The sequence below is a fragment of the Homo sapiens genome, chromosome 1 (genome assembly GCF_000001405.40).
Source record: "Homo sapiens chromosome 1, GRCh38.p14 Primary Assembly".
In the NCBI taxonomy this organism is placed as follows: Eukaryota; Metazoa; Chordata; class Mammalia; order Primates; family Hominidae; genus Homo; species Homo sapiens.
This window is the reverse complement of record NC_000001.11, coordinates 210904096-210926803: the sequence shown is the minus strand read 5'-3', so window position 1 is coordinate 210926803 and position 22708 is coordinate 210904096. Positions and strand designations below refer to the sequence as shown.

The 22708-nt window shown below is 42.2% G+C and overlaps 1 protein-coding gene across 5 annotated transcripts in view; it reads left to right on the top strand.

The window, feature by feature from the left end:
* KCNH1 (potassium voltage-gated channel subfamily H member 1) overlaps positions 1-22708 on the top strand; it is a 455835-nt gene that overhangs the window by 207345 nt on the left and 225782 nt on the right. For 3 of the 5 annotated variants that reach the window (XM_047419823.1, NM_002238.4, NM_172362.3), the window contains exon 7: positions 6735-7164. The exons of 1 other annotated variant lie outside the window; for it this stretch is intronic. In XM_047419823.1, the coding sequence (XP_047275779.1) occupies positions 6735-7164 (430 nt within the window). Of the gene's footprint in view, positions 1-5571; positions 5913-6734; positions 7165-22708 lie in introns of those variants that run through there. One more of the 5 variants, XM_017001246.2, reaches the window with a different exon arrangement.

The following is a 22708-nucleotide window of genomic DNA, read 5'->3' as shown; positions in this document are numbered from 1 at the left end:
TTTAAGTTGGACTTCACCTTTCTCTGGTGCCTTCTTGATTAGCTTAATAATCAACCTCCCGAATTCTTTTTCTGGCGTTTCATAGGTTTTGTCTCGGTTTGGATCCGTTGCTGGTGAGCTGGTATGATCTTTTGCGGGGGTTAAAGAAGCTTGTTTTGTCATATTACCAGAATTGTTTTTCTGGTTCCTTCTCATTTGGGTTTACTATATCAGAGGGAAGTTCTGGGATTCAAGGGCTATTGTTCAGATTCTTTTGTCCCACAGGGTGCTCCCTTGATAGAGTGTTCTCCCCCTTCCCCTAGGAATGGAGCTTCCTGAGAGCCAAACTGCAGGGATTGTTTTTGCTCTTCTGGGTCTGGCCACCCAGTGGAGCTACGAGGCTCCGGATCATACTGGGGAGTGTCGGCAAAGAGTCCTGTGATGTGATCCATCTTCAGGTCTTGCAGCCATGGATACCAGTGCCTGCTCCAGTGGAGGTAGCAGGGGAGTGGAGTGGACTCGGAAGGTCCTTGGTTTTGTGTGTGTGTGTGTGTGTGTGTTTAGATGGAGTTTTGCTCTTGTTGTCCAGGCTGGAGGGCAATGGTGCTGCCATCTTGGCTCACTGCAACCTCCACCTCCTGGATTCAAGTGATTCTCCTGCCTCAGCCTCCTGAGTAGCCAGCATTACAGGCACCTGCCACCATGACTGGCTAATATTTTGTATTTTTAGTAGAGATGGGGTTTCACCATGTTGGCCAGGCTGGTCTCGAACTCCTGACCTCAGGTGATCCGCCCACCTCGGCCTCCCAAAGTGTTGGGATTACAGGTGTGAGGTTGTGTTTTCATTGAGTGTGCTGTTTTTGTGTTGGTTGGCCTCCAGCCAGGAGATGGCACTTTCAAGAGTGCATCAGCTGTGGTCCTTTAGGGAGGATAGAAACTTGCACTAGGGACACCTGGTTAAGTATTCAGGTTTCTCAGGTGGTGGGCAGTGCAATAGGCTCCCAAGAGATTATGACCTTTGGTTACCAGGGCTGGTAGAGAAAGACCACCAGCTTGGGACAGGGATAGGCATGTCTGAGTTCAGTCTTTCTTTGTGTGGGGCTTGCTGCAGTTGCTGTGGGAGTTGGGAGTGTGGTTCCCAGTCCAGTGGAGTTATATTCCCAGTGGGGATGATGGCTGCCTGTGCTGAGTCATACAGGTCACCAGGGAAGTAGGGGAAAGCTGGCAGTCACAGGCTTCACCCTGCTCCCACGCAGCCCTCTGTCCTAAAGTCTGGTCTCACTCTCACCATGTCCCCCGCAACAGCACCGAGTCTATTTCCAGGCAGCAGGTGACCAGGGCTAAGAACCTGCCTGAGGCCGTGAGCCTCCCTACTGAGAAAGCAAGCCGACTCACAGGTTTTTGGCATATCAAGGAGCCTGTAGCAGTGATCAAGTTCCTTCAAAGGGTCTGTGGATTCTCTTGGCTTTCCTGATATATTCCTGCAGTAGTTCTTGGAGCAAAAGTTCACAGCATGAGTCTCCACATGCTGCTCTGTCCATCCAAGTGGGAGCTGCAAGCTAGTCCTGCCTCCTATCTGCCATCTTAATTCCAGTCAATCCTCACTGAGTTTCTTTAAGAGCGTTGTTTTGAATTCCTTTTTAGACATTTTATAGATTTCCTTTACTTTTGGGTCTGTTACTGGAGAATTATTGTGTTCCTTTAGAGGTGTCATGCATTCTTGCTTTTTCATGTTTCCTTTGTTCCTACATTGATATCTGTGCATCTGGTAGAATTGTTACCTCTTTCAGTTTTATGGAGTGGCTTTTGTAGGGAAAGACTCTTTTCTGTAAGTATGTCCTATAGCATCAGTTGGGTAGGGTACTTTGGCTTTAATCTGGGTGAGTGCAGGAGTGTAGTCTCCAAATTTTTTTTTTTTTTTTGCTATAGTCAATGTCATTGGTATCTGTGAGTGCCTCAGTGGCCTAGACTACAGTTGTTAGTGGAAGCAGTGATGTGGATTTTCTGGGGGTTGGGGCTGCCTGACAGGCTGGTTCTCAACCCTGGAATTGCACATCACATACAGTGGTTCCACTGGTCATGGTGACAGCATTGCTGGTGGTGATATGTGCCTGGTAGGCCAGTCCCTGGTTCCACAGTGTGCAGAAGCTCTGACAGCCAAGGAATGAGGTATGTTTTCTGATGCAAGAAGTCTCATGTTTTTAGTGTACTAAAATAAAATAAAAATGTTTGGAGTATTCTTTTTTATTTATCTCATCTACTGAACTCAGGCAAGTAAGGAAAAAAAATCTCAAATTAATAGCTTAAAATGCATTAGACAACTAGAATTCCAGCTGCTAATGCATTCAAAGAGAACTTACACAACAACCATGTAATAGAGTATCAATGTACACATAGATAAATAACACAATGAAAAAATGCTTGTTTTTTATTGTTTCAGAGGCTCTTTATAACAAGAAAGAATTTTATAATAATTCAAACTTCAATTTAGTTTAGAAAATATTCAAGACCCTTTCTGCAAAGGCACTGTGCTCTAGACCTTGTGTGGGTGTATTCATTCCCTAGGGCTGATGTAGCATGTTACTACAAACTAGGTGGCTTAATATGACAGAAATTTATTCTCTCACAGTTCTGGAGGTTAGAAGTCTAAAATCAAGGTGTTGGCAGGGCCATGGAGAGAATCTATTGCATGCCTTTCTCTTAGCCTCTAGTGATGCTGGCAATTTTTGGCATTCCTTAACTTGAAGATACATCCCTCTAATCTGTATTTGTATCACTCCAGTCCCTGTATCTGCATCTGTTACATAATATTTTCCATCTGTATCCATCTCTTCTCTTCTTATAAGGACACCAGTAATACTGGATTAAAGATCTACCCTATTCCAGTATGACCTCATCTTAACTAACTATACCTGCAATTATTCTATTTCCAAATGAGGTCACATTCTGAGGTTCTAGGAAGGACATGGATTTTTGTGGGGACATTGTTCAACACAATACATGTTGAATATATGGGGCTTCTAAAATGAATAACAAGTGGCCTCTGCCTTCAGAAAGGTATAGTTCCTGATGTAGTTGGGGAAATAGGTGCAGGAAATTAATGCAAGGCAATGTGTTCAAGTGATAATGGATATAGAATACTTATGGACACATGGAGGAGTTGGTGCTTGGTTGGAGTTGGTGACAAGCCTGAAGAATCACTAGTATGCAAAACAGGAATGCTGAGCATTCTGGACTGAAGGACCAGTCTGAGCAGGCACAGTCGTGCAGTTGTGCCTCCACCATGTGGGATGCTTGCAACAATTTGAGTGTATGGCTAGAGGATAGCATAGCTTTTGGGTAGTAATTGCATGGATTGTGGTGGCCACTGAGGAAGGATGGAGAAAGGACAAAGTAAGAGGGAGGTAAGAAAGATGATGGGACCCCCAATGGCAGTTTATCTCTATGAATGACTGCCACAGAAGTCTGCTCTTCAGAGGCAGTAGGAGTGGGAGTGGTCGAGGAGAGGCTGGATGACCATTTCTTAAAGGTGGTCTAGAAGACATTGCTGAACTCAGAGGAATTGGCCTAGGTGAATTCTATGCTCCCTCTTAGCTCTCCAATTCTGCAATTATTAGGTAGAAATATATTTTCAGTTATCATGTCTTGTATCTCTCACTATTATTATGCTTTTGATTCTTCCTCCTTTTTCTCCCTATTCCATATTCCAGGTGGTGGAGATACAATAGTGAACAAGAAGAAAAAGACACTGTCGTTTTAATCTCTTCTCTATAGCATTAGCACAAAGAGTACATACTAGGTTCTACATAAATGTTGCTTTGAACTGAATACAAGTAAGGAAAAAATGGCAAGGCAGTTTTGCCCTGGGCAATAAGTTCTGCTTCAGAGTAGAACTGTTTGAAAGATGATTTCAGGGACCTCCTTATGAGGAGGTGGAGAGTAGGTGGCTGCTTATGTGGTGTTTGATTTCTGAGTCATCAAAAACACTCCTTTGCCTCCCAAAATATCTCCTCCATGCAGGCTATGGGTACTTTTAATTCCACTGTTGGAAGTTGGTTTCCCAAGGTTTTCTCCTCTGTTAGAATGTAAATGCCTATGAAGAGAGGATATCCATTTACCCTCATTAGTCTTTTGTACCTTAGTATAAGGGATTTTCTCAGCCCTTTTTACATAGTGGGTTTTTGAGAAAAACACAGGTAGGGAAAAAGAGACTCAGGGGAGGAATACTGGGCATGCCAAGAGTAAGGTTTGTTAAAAATGGTTTGGATGAGACTGACCCTGGAGATGTAGGCCCTTGGCCTACAAAAATCTATTCTTATTTTTGCATCTTGCCATTTGCTGGTATATATTGGACAAGAAATTATCATTTCTGTTGAACGTTTTATGGCTGCAAACTTGTCAGGTTTTTTTTTTTTTTTTTTTTTTTTTTTTTTTTTTTTTTGAGACGGAGTCTCGCTCTGTTGCCCAGGCTGGAGTGCAGTGGCACGATCTCAGCTCACCATGCAAGCTCTGCCTCCCAGGTTCACGCCATTCTCCTGCTTCAGCCTCCCAAGTAGCTGGGACCACAGGCGCCTGCCACCACGCCTGGCTAAGTTTTTTGTATTTTTAGTGGAGACAGGGTTTCACCATGTTAGCCAGGATGGTCTCGATCTCCTTACCTCGTGATCTGCCCGCCTCGGCCTCCCAAAGTGCTGGGATTACAGGCATGAGCCACCGCGCCTGGCCCGTCAGTTTTTTTTTTAAAGGGCAATAAATCTCACCTCTTCCATCCTCACCTCAACAAAAGTAATTTGTGTGGCAACCTGATGTATGGTCTATATTGACAAGGCTATGCTACGTATGGTTTATACGTGTTCACATGACAGAGGGGCTCCGTATTTGTCAGGGAAGGCAAATACTAGCTACTGTAACAAATGTTCCCCAAAGTTGCAGTGGCTTATTTCAGAGGTTTCTTTCTCATTCACATCACAATACAATTCAAATTGATTTTGGGGAAAGGGGTGTTCCACATAGTCCTTCCGGGACCCAGGCTCTTTTCATGCTATGGGTCCACCTTCAATGCGAGGCCTCACTGTCATGCTAGACTCACCTGGAAGATGTGCTGGGGAGGAGAAGCATGTAGAGAAAACACACTTATTATTAACTGCCGTGGCCTGGAAGTGACATATTTCACCTCACATTCCGTTGGCAAGAACTAGACCTCAGGAACCACCCAGATGGAAGAAGCTGCAAAATATAGTTTAACTGTGTATCCAGAAAGAGGAAAAGCCTTGGTGGATCTCTGGCATAGGTTCATCAAAAAGCTTGTGTACATTTTCCTTCTGTCTGTGACATAACTTGACCCTTGGAGTGTTGTTATTAAAGGGATAGTGGACAAGAGAGAATAGCAGTGACATTGAAACTGTTAGTGTTTAAAATAATGAAAAGTAATTCAATCTACTTGGTGAAGGACATCATCTTTTCTTGGATTTTTGCTATATAAGGGAGGACAAAGTCTTGATTCGAAGAAATGTCTGTTTTATTTGCTTGTTTATTTGCTTTGTAATGGAAGTAGAAAAAAGCTAACGGAAACTTCCCTTGCATACATCTTGGAATCACCTTAGAACACCTTAGGTTTGGGGTTTTAAATGATGTGGCTTCTGCAATATGTTTCAGCTATCTTTGGTGATAAGAGTATGTTAGTGTATGGAGAAGACTTAGAGATCCTCAATCCACCTCTCATTGTCTAGAGAAGGGAACCAAGGGGTAACTGAATTATCCAAATTCACAGCAAGTTAGTGGTTTATGTTTGTCTCAGACCCCATTTTCCAGGTTTGTACTCGAGTGTTTTTTTCACTACCACAATGCTGTTCCCTAGATAACTACTATTTGGAGAATAGACCTGGCCTGGTGTGATCAGTGGATGCCAGCCAGAAGGGAAGAGGCTTGACCAGGTGAAATCAGAAGCTTCCCTCTAGCTTTTAGGTTCCTTGACTGATTGTATTTAAGTAGGTGGTGTCTGATGATATAATCCCTGGCCTGACAGAAGTGATATGGCCTTCTAAGAATTTGTAATGTTTCTGAGGAACCAGAGTCTCATTTCTTTATTCTTCTCAGCTATTTCTTAATTTATTTTTAGCTTTTTAAAAACTGTATTTGCTTTTAAATTTATAAACTTATTTTTTTAATTATAAAAGTAATATAGAAATTAAGTAAATATAACAAAAATATTTACAAAATATAAAATTGCCTGTAATTTCATAACTTGCTAATGCAGCAATAACCTCTATTAATATTTTGGTGTATTTCCCAACCATTTTCAGCACATATATGTTTGCATACTTATGCACAATATAATTTGGATGAAATGTTATGCAATATGAAATAAATGTTATGCAACCCTTAAAATTTTTCATATTATGCAATATCTCATTTCCATGAGATGAAATATTATGCAACCCTTAAAATTTTTTAAAGTAAGTAATGATATGGAAAGATGCCCACAGGTATTTGTTTACTTATGTACAATATAATTCTAATTATATTTGTTTTGTGTGCTTGCTTATTTGCTTTTTAATGGAAGTAGAAAATGCTAATGGGAATTTCCATTCCATACATCTTGGAATAAAATTCTAATTTTACTTTTTTTAAGGGTTGCATAAAATTGCATCTCATGGAAATACACTATGCTTAAAATAATGGCCCAAGTGGGGCGGAGGGGACGAGAGTAGTATCTTTGGTTCTTTGGCCCTGACGCTGTGTTCCTCTTCTCCCAGGGCATCAGCAGCCTGTTCAGCTCTCTAAAAGTTGTCCGGCTGCTCCGTCTTGGGCGAGTGGCCCGTAAGCTGGACCACTACATTGAATATGGAGCTGCTGTGCTGGTCCTGCTGGTGTGTGTGTTTGGGCTGGCTGCACACTGGATGGCCTGCATCTGGTACAGCATTGGGGACTATGAGATCTTTGACGAGGACACCAAGACAATCCGCAACAACAGCTGGCTGTACCAACTAGCGATGGACATTGGCACCCCTTACCAGTTTAATGGGTCTGGCTCAGGGAAGTGGGAAGGTGGTCCCAGCAAGAATTCTGTCTACATCTCCTCGTTGTATTTCACAATGACCAGCCTCACCAGTGTGGGCTTTGGGAACATCGCCCCATCCACAGACATTGAGAAGATCTTTGCAGTGGCCATCATGATGATTGGCTGTAAGTATGACAGTGCTGGGGTGGGGTTGGCCATCTCTTCTGTTAGCTGGAAACAGGGAAATGGCTACAGTGCCAGCAGGATCAGGAGAATAATAACTTAAAACAAGGAAGAGTTTTTTTAAGACTAGGCTTACAGTTACCCTGATAATTAAAGCAGTATATGCTTACTGCAAAAAAATTTAGAAAATACAAAAGAGTGCAAAGTAGAAAGTAAAGACTATCCATAATTCTGCTTTTCAGAGATAACTACTAATACTGTTGGTGTCTTCTCTTACAGACTATTTTCTTTGCATATCTGAATACATATAGATTTTTATAAACTTAAAATGAGATCTTGCTGCATACGCACTTTAGTAAACTACTCATAGAACAGTGAATTATGGAAGTCTTTTCATGTCAATTTTTTTCTTTTTAATAAAAATTGTATATATTTAAAGTATGAAATGAGATTTTGATATAGTGAAATGATTATGACAGCAAAGCAAATTAACATATCCATTCCTTTACATCATTACCTTTTTTTTGGTGAAAGCACTTGAAATCTGCTCTCTCAGCAAATTTCCTGTAGGCATTACAGTATTATTAACTATAGCCGTCATGCTACATGTCCTACATGTCAATTTGAACATAGCTGTAGCTTGGCATATAGTCTAATGTAGTATGAGAAAAAGAATGTATGAAAAATGAATGCAAAACATCTCATTAATTGTATTTTATATTGATTATATATTGAAATGGTAATATTTCTGATGTATCGGTTAAGTAAAATATTCTCTTAGAATTAATTTAATCTGTTTCATTTTCCTTTTAAAAGTAGCTCCTAGGAAAAATTTAAATTTAATCATTTGGACGGTGCTGGTCTAGATAAACATTTTTGATGTCTTGCTTGATGGGAAATTTTCCAACTCAAAAACAAATCCACAGACACAGAGGGAAGAAAGGCCCTTGTTCAGCTGAGAAGTAATAGGTTATTGGAGTAACTTTATTGGACTGAAAAACAACCTTAGTTCTTGAGGAAGATACTTAGATTTGATTGATTTACCCACTGACTGTTGTATAGCTGTTCTATTGCTGAGTGTAGAAGCAACTTTTTTTGGCTGTAGACAACAATGAATTCCCTTCATTAAAGGGAGTCTTATGTAGGAAGGGACCTAACTGGGATGGAAAAAGCAAACAAGTTTGAGTGGATTGGACTCATTGTGAAACTGCCAAGTGCATGCTGTGGGCACTTCAATGACAAATTCAGATGTGAGAAGACGGTCCTCTGGTGAAATTTCAGTTTAGACAGGTCTGAGCACACATGAAGACTCTTGCGTTCTTGTTTCAGTAGGTAGAAACTGTTTTGCTTGATGTAGGGTGGAGTTGACAAATTGTTATACTGACCAGGGAAACCTGAGGCTTCAGCTTGCCTTGCTTTGTCCAACTGACCAGAGATTCAGCATCCCGCTTTGTGAGTGGATTTTGTTACCTCAAATTGTCACATTTGCTGCTTGGTACCTCCTTTTTTGCAACAGTCTCATCATGTCTGATGGAGTCCTTTCATAAAAGCCCTCTCTGCAGGCAGAGTTTTCCTGAGAGTATTTAAGGAATGTGTCTAAGGGGGTAATTGATTTGTGGGAAGTGTGTGCCTATGGAGCTTTGGGTTTGTTCCTTACTTTAAAATGTGTTTTAATAGAGATAATTGCCTGGCCATGGGAAGCAGTGTTAAGGATCTGTGGGTGGCTAATTGCTTCATCTTAATTAGAATTTGAGGTGCTTTCTCATGTCACAGAAAAGGATTTAAGATCTTTTCTCTTCTAGAACTGTTTCAGCCTTAACTGCACGTATTTCCTAGGCAGTGCTTACTTACAGCATTTTTGTGAGCCTTGGGGCACCCGATAAACAACCAGATGCACTGTGCTCAGGACATGATTTGATTTCCTTCTCTTAGAGGGAGGGGGAGATGAGCCACTTTGTCAGTCGAAATACCTCATTGTATCCATTACAGAAAATTTGCTAAGAGTGATCATTTAGAAAATGGGTCCCATTTTATGGACTCGCAAAAGGCTTTCAAATATGAGATTTCCCTGCAACTTCTTACCTAGAAGAAAAGAAAATAGTTATGGTGGCATATAATAAGGGTAAGTAGTTGGGGGTTTTTTTGTTTGTTTGTTTTTTTGTTTTCCCCAAAATGAGTCGTCTATGGAAAGCACAATTTCTTGGATATAATCTCCAGGGAAAACCTCAATTATTTACCGCCTCTTTTCTCTTCCCACCTTCTGAGAGTCAGGTGATCTCTCTCTCTCTCTCTTTCTCTCTCTCTGTGTCTCTGTCTCCCTTTCTTTCTCTCTCTCTCTCTGTGTTTCTCTTTCTTTTCTTTTCTTTCTTTCTTTCTTTCTTTCTTTCTTTCTTTCTTTCTTTCTTTCTTTCTCTCTCTCTCTCTCTCTCTCTCTGTCCCTTTCTTTCTCTGTCTCTTTATTTCTCTCTTCTCTCTTCTCTTTCTCTCTCTCTTTTTGAGACACAGTCTCACTCTGTTGCCCAGGCTGCAGTGCAGTGGTATGATAGGCTCACTGCAACCTCTGCTTCTTGGGTTCAAGTGATTCTCCTGCCTTAGCCTCCCAAGTAGCTGGGCTTATAGGCACGCACCATGACACCTGGCTAATTTTTGTATTTTTAGTGGAGATGGGGTTTCACCATGTTGGCCAGGCTGGTCTTGAACTCCTGACCTCAGGTGATCCACCTGCCTCAGCCTCCCAAAGTGCAAGGATTACATGCGTGAGCCACTGCGCCCAGCCCATTTCTTTTTTTAAAAATGTAAAATACACGGGTAGTCACTTCTGCATTATGTAGCCAAGGACAATGTTTAGTTAAGCAAGTCCACTTAACACCATTTCCTTGAGCACTTATTATTTGCCAGACACTGTGCCAAATACTCTACACACAATTTTTTCTGCTCATGACAATGGTATATGTTAGAGATTATTATCTCCATTTCATAAGGAAATGGAGGCTCACAGAAGTTAACTCACTTTCCCAAGAACCTGGGACTGGTAGACAGGAGAGATAGGATTCAGATCCAGATCTCTCTCCTGTGGTAGCGTGGTCTAACAACACAGACCCCAACAGTCTCTCCACACTTAGGCACTGAAAATTCACTTCATAAACTTCAGCAAGCCAGCAGTTTCTGCAGTGGAAACTTTTTCTTTGCTTGTTTGTTGTTGTAGTCATTTTAAGAACAAGATTATGGTGCAGACTCAGGGGACTGGGTGCTTAGGAAACAAGTCATTTTTCAGCAACCTGTCACCGTTTCAGCTGTTCCACTTTCCATGTGATACACATCTGCCAAATTGTGCTAACAAGAAAGTTACTGCACTTGGCGTAATGCGTTGGTAATTATCCTTGTAAACTTATACTCCAAACAATGTTTGTTCAGGACAACTGCTGATGTCTTACTAGATTTACCGAGTTCTCTTTTACCCTTTTTTGCCCGTGTATACACATGTATACACTGACCTCCTTCCTGTACAGCTCATGGGATTAGACTGACATCAGATTTGGGATCAACAGTAATGGGGAGCATTGACCACAGCCTGCACTTACACCAAAGGCTCGGTGTTGTCTCCCTCCCTGACTACCAGGTCACTCTGGTAGTCAGGCCTAGCACTCCTTAAGGGGTAAAAAGAGACAAAAAGCCAGTGGGTTTTTGGAGTGCTGGGTATGTTATGATTTTTTCCTCTTTGCATTGAATTTTATATGCCTTAGTAATAGTGTTTCTTGGCTATCCTGTTGCAGTATATTAGCCATAATATAGATTATCCGAGCTTTCTGTGACCTCCCCTGTCTGCTCTGAACATCTCATTACAACTTGGCTAAATCCCCAGAGGATGATGTGCAGCAGGAAAACTAAATATTTTCAAGCTAGCATACCTGTTTTCAGTTCTGATAAGAAATTGCTTTAAGAAGGGGTGAAAACAGTTGACTAAAATGAGTTTTTGTGATTAGCTGCGGATTTAGGTGACCTACAATGTCTCCAAGTGCCTGGTTTTATGTCTAATTTCCATTCTGGGGTCTTGGCCTGGATCAGGGGCAAGCCAGCTTCTGCCCTGGTTTCCCTGCCTTCCCTGTGTAGATCTGTGGTAGTCTCCGGCAGGGGCTGACTATAAGGTATGGTGTGTGGACTCATTTTCTCCCATGTAATCTCTCCTATGCATTGGTAATGCCAAGAGAAACACAAGGCCATGCCAGCCCTCTGTGTGACATCTAGGAGAGGATGTCCCCCATTCAACAGGCACATACTGAGTGTCCCCTCATGCCCCAACAGATGCCAGGCTAAGTGCTGAGGATTTGGTGACTAACACCGTAGTTGGTGCTCTTAAGGAGTTGACAGTCTGGGTGATGGAGGTGGATAGGAAGGACAGAGACAGACCCTGTCAGCCTAGCAACCAGCAACAAAGGCCTAGAAATGGACTCTTCACTGTGGCTGAGCCTTTCCCTGGCTTTTGAGGAATCCCTCAAAGGAAGAAGAATTGTCAGGGGAAGAGTCCTTTTATCTGGGAGGTCTCCGGTTAGGGACCTGACCCTGTTTGGGGGAGCTCTCTGGGGGTAATTTGATGGCAAAGAGACAGTTTCCATTTTCTAAATATGGGCTTTGCACTTTTCTGATTCTCTTCTCATAATGTCATTGCTGTCATCCTGTCATTGTAAGTCAGCCACATCTATTTCCTTTCTCTCTGCTAATGGTAGGGGGTCTAGACAATGTACTCCTACTCCAGACACTCTCCACCCCCAAGCCTAATATTTGGTCTCCTACCTCAGCACTTCACAGCACCTGTCTCTTTGAATTCATTTCTTTCTTCCCAGTCCTCCTCCCACTTTAGGTCCTTAAAACTCTAGCTGAGCGTCAGCTAAAGGGACTCTTGTGAGCATTTCCTTGGTCCAGTTCTCCTCTCTCCTTCTAGTTCTTCTGCTGGGCCAGATACCATCCTGATTAATGCTTTAGGTAACCTCTTCCTCAGGCCTGGAAACTCCCACATAGCAACTGGGCACACACTAGTGTTTCCTTCTATTGCCTTCTTGCCTGGGAGGAAGAGACAGTACTTACGTTCACTGCTGAACACTTGACTCCATTACCTTACCCACTTGCAGCCCAGCAGTATCTTTTGTGGCCTCACTTCAGCTTGTATTGTCACTTGCATTCAAATATGGGCTTTTCCCCGCCTCCTTCATGACCTTATTTAAAGATTTCTTGTTTCTTTGCATTTCACCTTTGCTGAGTATCCCTTTTTGCATTCTGTACCAACATACTGATTTTTCTAAAACAATGTGGGTCACAATTGCCAGGAGGCTGTAAAGATATTCTTAGGAGACTTCCAACACATAGTGGGCTCTTAGTAAATGTTTACTGACTTCTTAGTCTGAATCAGAGCAATTGAGAAGACCCTGACATTTTGGAAGGCGTCTTTGGTGCTTCAGTGCTATTGGCCACACTTTTTAAAAAGTAGGATATGGGTTCTGCTGTTGGACAGAGACCAAAAGTGGCATCAACAAAATTTTCTAAAAGTTTGGGGTTGGCCTGGCTACTCTGCAGTTGTCAGAGACCCAGGTTTCTCTGCTGTATTCAACACATGACTTTCATATTGGGATCCCATATGGCTTTTTTTTCCAGCCATGTGTTCTTATTCCAGAAAGTAGAAAGAAAAGGAAGGGGAAAGCTGGTCATACTCCTTACTTTTGAGAATAAGACTAGGAAGTTGTCTATCACTTTTGTTCACATCACATTGGCTGGAACTTGGTAACCTAGCCACACTGGGAAGGGAAGCTTGGAAATATAGAAATATAGTATTTATTCTGAGTGGTCATGTGCCTGAGTAGAAATACGGTAATATATGCAAGGAAAACTGATATGGGGGGATGACCAGTAGTGTCAGCCTCAACTTTCCTTCTTCTCCCCATAGTCTTATTCCGTCAGTTGATACTAGGAAACATTAGTCCTCCACAGCAGGAAGAGCTTGTTGGAGCTGTGTCCTTATATTTCTAGTTGAGAGACTTTGATTCAAATCTTAGATATGCTCTGTGGTTTGGGCTGTATCCTCTATTTTTGTGGATTAGAGGTAAGAGGCTCTCCTGACAATCTCACTTGGCCGAAGTGAAAACTAAATGAGATAATGATGTATAACAACTTTTTGGAAAAATTTGAAAATTTAACTTTCAGATGTCATGATTTTATTGTTGTTAATAACAGTGTTTGTTTCTTGCTCTTCCCAGTTAACTTTTTCTTTTCTGTAATTAGAAAAAAAAAAGAAAATAATAATTGCTACTCCCTTCTCGGGAGCATGAGAATGCTGTTTAATTTCATTTTTGGTTTATTTTTATTTTGGGAATGGGGCAGTGTTCAGAATTTTTTAGGAGAAAAAGCCTTTCATTTCCAATTTATCGTTAGAGTTCTTTTCTAGCCAGCAATCAGCTTGATTTTTTCTCTATAACCTGGTTTTTTAAAAAAGTTCTGCCTACTACTATGCGTTTCAGTTGGGTGCCCCCATTTTGGACACAACCTTAGACTACTTTCTGTCTTCCACATCACTTTCTCCCCTCCTCCAGAAAACTCTGGTTACTCCCATCCTGTTCATAACCCTCTGTCACTTCATGCCCTTAGGCTGATGGACCCTATTTTGGGTTTATTCACTTGGATTCACTTTATACTGCTCTGTGAACATTCTTGTGACGTCATGGCTATCTTTTTTGCCTGCTATTTGGTCCAGCTCTGGTAAAGCTCTAAGCTTCCTGAGGGTGGGACCTGTGGGTCATCTTGCTCTTTCTCTTCTCTTTTGTTCCTAGGCTGCTGTAATGTGGGAAAGAGCCTACATTTTGGAACCAGTCAGTTCTGGCTTTCAGGCCCACCTCTGCCCATGATTAATGCTTTGACCTTTGGCAGGTTCCTTAACTGAAAATGGAGGTACCATTTGGGGATGCAAAAACAAAGTGATGTGAAGTACAAAAGTACCTAGCCTAGTGCTTCCATGCAGAGTGTTTAAACAATGATAACTCTCTCCCTGCCCCTGTGTTTCCTCTCTTACAGCACATTAATAGGACTCAACAAACAATGATGTTTCTCAGCTATTTGTTAGTCCTTTGAGTATGCTCTACTTTAAGAGAATTGAACTTGCATAAAATATCAGGTACATTACAGTGTTTAAAGTATAGGTCATTAAATATAAGTATATCTGGATATGACGTTCCTTAGATACAAAGCTTTTTAGAAAAAAAAAGTTGGCCTGACTGCAGAGCAAGTTAAGGGAAGCCCTAAAGTAGGAAGTCATTTTGTGTGGTTGGGAAGTCCTCCCAGGCTTCACTGTTCAGGCTTGACTGGCAGGATCTTCACGGGACAGGACATGGTACCAGGAGCAGCAGGAGTGATCCCCTTGGTGAAAGGGAGAAAAGACTACAAATAGTCATGCCCTGAGTGCCCAAGACATGCCAGGTCATACTGGGAAGTTTTCACAACCCAATAACTCTTGTAAATAGGCTTTCTTATCCCTGTTTTGCAGATAAGAAAACTGAGTTCAGAGACATGAAATAACCTATTTAAGGTCACAGTTTGAGAGGTGGCTGGACTGGGTTTTGACTTCAGTTTCATCTGACAAAGTCATTCCCTTTGTCTTGTTGCTTTCCTTGTTGATTATTTTGGGATTTGGCAGGAGAAAATGTTCTTTGTGATGTGTGTTTGGTCGGGGGATGCAGAGTAAAGAATCAGGAAGGGAAAGAGGGCAGTGGAGAGATTGCAGGAGAGGGGTGGAAGATATCCCTATTATTTTGAACTATAATTATGGTGACAAAATATCTTGTGTGTATTGTGGGAGGACATCATCCTTGTTCATAGCTGGATTACTGCACTGGGCAGAGGAATTTACAACAAGTTTTAGATGTTCAGAAGCTTTAATGATGGAATGCCAACCGATAAGGGTCATTGTCTCTGATCTTATAGGTACCCACAATATTTGAAAAATCCCTTTCCTTCTTTTTTTTTTTTTTTGCTTTGAAAATAACTTTATTTTTAGTATAAAAGAAATATATATCTGATGTGGCAAGTTCAGATTTTTTTTTTTTATTATACTTTAAGTTTTAGGGTACATGTGCACATTGTGCAGGTTAGTTACATGTTTCAAAGGAGACAACAGACATAGAAGCAAAATATTACTAGAAACAAAGGATTGGATGTTAGCAACATCTCCACATTATAATTGACATTTGAATTAAAATTATATTTTTAAAAAAGAAGGAAAGGACCTTCTATATTTATTGGAGTCTGGTAGGGGAGCCAGATGAGTCAATGAGATGAGTCTCCACTAAGGAAAGGACAGCTTGTTATGGGCACATGTGCAGGGTGTCTCCCCAGTGAGGAGGTCAAGGAGGGGTCAGGCAGTATATACCCCATTTATTTGGGAAGAGCCGTGGGCCAGGCACCTAAGGTTTTTCTGAGATTTATCATAGTGCATCTGTGTACTGATGTCTTCACAACCAGACTTCAAGCAGCTTAGGTCAGGGGCTGTGTGAGCCAATCCATGGTCCACAGTGGGCTCAATAAATATAGAATGAATGGAGGAAGAGAGAGAAAATATGGTATTTTCTCCACAGTTAACTTACAATCTACACAAATGCAAGTAGGAAAACCACGTGCAGCTGGAAAGCACTAAGTGTTCATGGAATAAGCTTTCAGATTTCTAGGAAGATGGTGATCTTTTGTGTAATATGGCCATGAATGTGGCATAAAAGAGGAGAGAGTTTACTTGACCAGTGAATAATGGTTAGGATTTGCATCACTTACAATGATAGGTAAGTAATAACAGTATTAATAATGATGAATGATTGAACATATACTGTGTGCAGAGCACATTATACACATTCTTTATTCACCTCTCCCAACACTTTTATGTCACAGGTGTTATTATCTTAGTTTATAGGTGAGGAAACTAAGGCTCAGGGAGGTCAATTCTCTTGCCTTCGGTCAACCTTCTTGTGAATGGTGAAGGCAGAATGCAAACCCAGATCTCTGACCCCCAATCTCATTGTCTTTCCACCAGTCTGTGTTGCCACCCTAGTCACTGACAGCAATGAACAGGGCACTGGTGCAGGGACCTGGGAGCTGAATGCTGCAGAAAGAGCAGCCACAACCCCTTGTTGCCAAATAGTGGGCAGAAAGAAAGATGTGCTGATTAGAAAGGGGCTGAGCACCTGTTCTGTGTCTTCTGGCTTGTCAGCCCCTCAGACTCCTTTTTGCCGTAGGCTAGTGCTTGATGACCACCTCTGACTGTTTACCATGTGTCAAAAGACAGGGATTGCAACATTTTGCAGTAAGGCCAATTTGATGATTTTTTTTTTTTTTTTTTGGTGCTTGATGACCACCTCTGACTGTTTACTATGCATCAAAAGACAGGGATTGCAACATTTTTCAGTAAGGCCAATTTGATGAAATTTTTTTTTTTGGTGCTTGACGACCACCTCTGACTGTTTACCATGTGTCAAAAGACAGGGATTGCAACATTTTGCAGTAAGGCCAATTTGATGAAATTTTTTTTTGGTGCTTGATGACCACCTCTGACTGTTTACCATGTGTCAAAAGACAGGGATTGCAACATTTTGCAGCAAGGCCAATTTGATGAAAATTTTTTAACATCCAGATCTCAATCCTGTAGTCTTCAATTTAGAAAAGTTACTGAGATGCAGACTTGATTTTTTACTTGGAGGACTCCACCAGGGATTTCTGGATTATATGACTCAGTTTGTTTAGACAGAAGATGCTATAGCCCATGATAGTGGTCAGCTTGTTGGCATCAAAAACTGCCCCCTTCTCCTGGACAGCCCCTCTTTGAATTGATACTACTCAGAAAGGAGACTACCTAGACAGCAAGGACGATTTATGAAAGTCATCTCCACTGCCAGTGAAACCAGTCAAGCTGCATGTGCAGCTGCCATTAGGTCAGGAGAAAAACTTCCATTTTTGAAATTGTATAGCATAGACAGTCCCTGGGATCAAAAGGAGACAAGCATGGGTATGGATCTTGTCTGCACTACTTAATAGTCAGGAAGGTACTTAAGTCCTGGGCCCGTTTCTTCTTCTGAAAATGGAAACGATGCAAATTAAATGGCATAAATGAAGGTAAAGATGCTTCCCTTTCAGAACCTTTGTTTCTGCCTAGTGTTCACTCCAGGGCCACAGATGGCCTGCTAGTTGATGTTAATGCCATTCTTTAACTACCCCTTGTGTGTGTTGTTTGTTCATTAATGTGGATGAATGGTTCCACAATTCCACCAGGGACTTTGGTAGGTGTTGGATGAGTGTGTAAAGGAGGGAGAAGGTGTTATATGCAAAGCTGGTAACAGAGAATAGGGACAGCCCAATGCTTTGTATAAGAAGAGCTTGATAAGGGTTTGTTTGTAGAACTAAATATCAAGAAGAAAATCTTCCAATGAGGATACTGCAGAATGAGAAGCTGTTAGGGCCAACTCTGTAAATTCTCACCTGACAGTGATTTTGCAGACTAACAAATGTTTCCATTTTCGCTTTTCCCCATTGTGACCCTCTTTGCATGCATGGGAGAGAATAATTTCAGCTCTCATCAGCTAGAGGTCTGGCTCTGAATCATAGCTACGTGGTGATAAAAACCCACCATCACTGCAAGAAAGCTTGGCAAGGAGAGAAGTCTTGGTAGGAAGAACAAAAGGAGCAGAAGGCTTTAAAACAAAATCTAATATGTGAAAAATCACCAGTGAGTTCTGCAGAGCTGCACGTGCCCTGCTTGCAGAGCCAACCCTGGTCAGAGGATGATCCTTTGTTCCTCCTTTGCAGAAGAGATGGGAAACAGAACTGGTCTGGGCAGGAATGGGGGTGGCTGAGCCAGAGCAGGGGTGGGCATAGAGTGTCCCTCTTCCTGATCACATAAATGAGGGCTGGGCCCCCTTCTTAAAGATCACTCGGTTTGGTGTGAGGAAGTTAGAATGCACCCATTGGGGAAACGACAGTAAACTCTAAGAAGTCCCTATGAAGCCTGGCCCAAATGTTCAAATTAACAGAGAACATACTGACAGCAGCCCTGCAGTGAAAACACAAAGTGATCGAGGCTGTTGGGGACTACCCATCCAGCCCCGTCTTGCAAGCAGAGAGGCGGGGCACAGGCAGAAGCTACAGGTTCTCCCCTGGCTGTCATTTTGATTCCATCCCTCCTGGGAAGCTCAGGTGTTTAATTATATTGAGCTGTGCTCACATGCAGGCGCTGGCAGCCTTGGATGGAATCCAGCACCTTAACAAGTGGAAGGGAAGCAGGATTTCTGAGCAAAAGCCTTTCTGAACACTTTGTTGAATGTATGATTTAAGCCTTCCATCTTTGCTTCTCTTTCTCTCTCCCCTCCACAAATATTTATCAAAACCCTACTATGTGTCAGCCAATTAGAAATGATGTGAGAACAGATGGATAATTAGCCATTCATTTTCTGAGGTAATTAACCAGCACTCCAGTGATGACACTCACAGAGATTGAGATTAAGAAGAACCTTGCACTCATTTCCTCCGTTGTGCTAAGAACCATGTCTCTACCATCATCTGCCTTTGCGGTGGGCTTTTTATTGCACCAAATTCTATGACTCGACATTTATCCAAATGCGTCTCCTCATTTTCCTTTGCTACACCAATGTGGAAACAGACATGGAAAAGAGTCACAGTAGCAGGTACAAAACAGTTTCTTTTTCTGTTGCTGACCAGAAAGATCATTAGAACCCAACTTATGGCTTAAGGGGTAAAAGTAATGTCTCTTGGCAACTCTGGGTGACCATAGGTGCTTGTTCTTCCACCTGGTAGCATCTGCTCTCCTTCCCTGGCCACTACTGACACATACCACATCATTTCTCAATTGCTATGTGAACCCCCACCCCCACTGGGATGGATCTTTTTTTCCATCAAAGTGCTAATGTTACTTCTTCTGTGTCACCCATAGACACATGCAGAAGCTCTGTAGTTTGCTCCAATGTGGGGGAAATGCCCTCCTCCACCTGTGCTCAGCCCTGGCACTAGGACAGAACAGGATCACATCATACTGCCAATAATAGAATGCTTTTTCCATTCAGCTTGCTTTTTTTTTTTTCTTCCCAGTCCTTTTTCCTAGATCCTGATTTGAGCTTGGGCCAGAAGACACTGGGTGGGGCTGCATTCTCCCTTTCCTTCTCCTCATGCAGAATCTCACCCGATACCAATGTTCCTAGACAAAGCTTATTCTTGGCAAGCATCTACATATGGAGAAATCACATTTCTACCATCTTTTGCTTTGGCAATTGGCTTTTTGGACCAAACTTCATGCTTCCCAGTAGAGTGAGTCCTTCCCCACTGGGTACAATTTCTTGGCACTTAAGAAGAGCCATTGTACCCTGACTACTTGGAGATATAACCCTGGAAGTGGTCCTGAGTTCCCATTTACCACCGTTATCTGAGTGGTTCCTGGGACCTCTCATATAAGTAAGTTTCAGCCTTTTTGCATCCATGTGATTGGATATAGCTTTAACCAAGTTACAATTTTAAATTTATGGTTGATTATCTGTCAGATACATAATTTGCAAGAAAGTGAAAGTGCCTTTTCACTTTCTTGATGGTGTCCTTTGATGCCAGAAGTTTAACATTTTGATGGATTCTGATTTTTCTATTTTTTCTCTTTTGTTGCTTGTGCTTTTGGTGTCATTTTAAAGGATCTTGGTATTTAATCTATCCACTTGGTTATTACCTCCCTAGCCTCCAGCTATCCATGAATTTGATCAGCATGGCATCAGTGTGAGAGTGTTCTGGCCCATATGATTACTTCTTCACATTGTATCATGTGAAAGCAGTACCTGCTCTAGAGCCACTCTTCTCCCACTCACTTCAGAAACTTGCAGGGGGAGCTTCTGAAATCTATCAGTGAGAGAATCCGAGTGAATGTGAGAGAAAGCACTGAATTATCAGTGACACATGTAGCTCATAAACCCCCGACTTTATTATGGACAGGCCATTTGGACATTCTGTTTTTAAAATTTCACCCACTGGATGTCTCATTCCTGTGTGGTCGAGAAGGCATAAGAAATAGTTATGGAAATCAGTTTTTCTGGGATACTGCTGAAAGCTGGAACCAAGACGGTCACTGTGTGGAATGACAATAAGCACTTCTCTCCAGTACTTGATCCTGAGAGTTAGAGGATATTAGCTGAGTCTGGGAGGAGTCATGTGGTGTTGAACCGTGATATCTGCCCCAGCAGCAGTCATGTGGTGTTGAACTGTGATATCTGCCCCAGCAGCATCTTGCCATCCCCTCCCCGGCACTGTGTCTGCCACCATTCCCTGGCAGCCAGACATGGCTGCTGCTTGCTCCATATGAAATTACTGACCCGCTTTTCACAGTCATCTGGGCCCTAGAGACCTGGCTGTTTCTTATCCCCAGGCTTATAAGCCGAGCACGAGGCTTGAGGCAGGGAGAAGACTCACATGAGGTCACATGCTGACCTTTCTACAGCCAGCCCTGCTGAAAATAGAGCCCATGACTTTTACTTCTGGGAGTTCAGACCTGATGGCATGTGCCACGCCCCTTGTCCCCTCCATCAGCTGCTCCCTTGAGATCCTGAAACCAAGCCAGAAGAGGAAGTGGGAGTATGTAGGTGAGGTTTGGTTTGAGAGGAGTAAGGGCTTTACGCTGGACTAAGTGGATTTGATTTAGGAAGAATGAAAATAATAATTCTAGTTCTCTATATTGTTATACTGCTTTGAGCAAACAGTGTTTTACATACATTATGCCACTTCATCATCATAGTAACACAGTTGAAGAAGTGAGGCACAGAAAAGTGGATCAATTTTCCAGACATGACACAGTTACTGACAGGAAGAAACAGAGCTTACATTTCAATCTTCTGAAGTGCTCCCTCAGCACCCTACGGCTGCCCTTTTGTGAACCCCACTGGGAACACCGAGAGGGTAGGCCAGTTTTACGATTTTTTTTTTCCCCTGAGATGAAAGACACGATGCTCACAAAGAACTCTTTTGCTCTAAGCTGTCAATGTGAGCAATTTATTGTTGGCAATAGTCTCAGTTCACTGGACTCAGGGCTACATGTCAGGAGCTGAAGGGTGACAGACTCACTCTCTGGAACCAATGCTTGACTTGGGAAGGTGTCTATATTGACCATTTGGATCCTGATCAGACTAAGGGAGGAGATTTAACCCCAAGTTCCTGGTACTTGACAGTACCAGGATGCCTTGATCTTATATTTGGAGCAGTCAGGATAATGACAATGTTGATGATAGTAAGAGCTAAAATTTATTAGACACTTACTATGGGCTACTCTTAACTCATATTGACTAATTTAATCCTGATAACCCTGTGAGATGGGACTATTATTCGCATTTTACAGGTAAGAAAACAGGCACAGAAAGGTGATAAGTCATTTGCCTAAAATCAGCTAGGAAGTGGAGGAACTGGGAGATTCATAAATCGTAACTGCAGATACCAACTTTGTGTGTATCGAAGACCTGTCCTATGTCCAGATCCCTACAGTCACCTTTCAGGGATGGCTCTTCTTCCTCTCGTGCTGCTACTTTGCCTCTGCTTCTGCCTCCTTAAGGAGCTGATGGTGTGGGGAGTCATGAGGGAGGTCAAGATGGTAAACCTTCTGATGAACATAGGTGGTGGAGGTGGTCTCTTGTTCTCCCCCTCACATCCCCTTAGTTACTCACTCTCTATGTGGCTTTGAAAAGTTCCCAAAGCTAGGTGTTCTTTTCTGAGCTTCAGTTTCCTCATCTGTAAAATGGAGGAGGTAATGGCTCTATTTCATTGGCAGAGTGATTGACAGGCTTAGATATAATGTCTGTGGAATTCCTGGCATGGTGCCTGGCAGATAGCAAGTGCTGAATAAATAACTGCTGGAGTTATTGCTTTTATTATTACTCCATTCCTCTTCCTCTTCCTTTCTATTCCTACCCTAGACAGAGATGTGGGTGTTGCCTAGTGAACATTGTCTAGAAGTTGTCTAACCCCAGTCCCGCTTCCAAAATTGGTTCAGAGAGCCATGAAGTGCAAGAAGGTGGCCAGTCTCCGTGCAGCCTGGGCTCCAGAGCCTGCCCCTTTCATTATGAAATGACAGGCTTTATTCATTTATTTGTACCACTGGCCTTTGGAATAAATTAAATAATACTACCTCAAAAAGAATTTCTTCGCACCTTCCACTGAGTATATTAACTCTCCTCTCCAACTGCTAGTCCACCAGAGATGAGGCCCTGGAGTGGTGGGGGTGGGGAAGCATGGGGGAAGGCTCTTGGGGTCAGTGGGGACAGAGCCCAAGAAGGATGTTCTTCTACATGGTGTGGAGGCTTCTGATATGCTCACCACTTTGCAGATTCACTCAGCTGCTGCTTTCTTCTTTTAATCAGGCTTTTTGCAAAGCAGTTATGTCATCATTTAAATATCCTCCAGTTGAATGTTCTCACACTCATAACTTAATGACCTTAATTGTGCTTATTAGTGAGAAAAGTACTTGGCATTATATTGCACTGCCTGCTGACATTC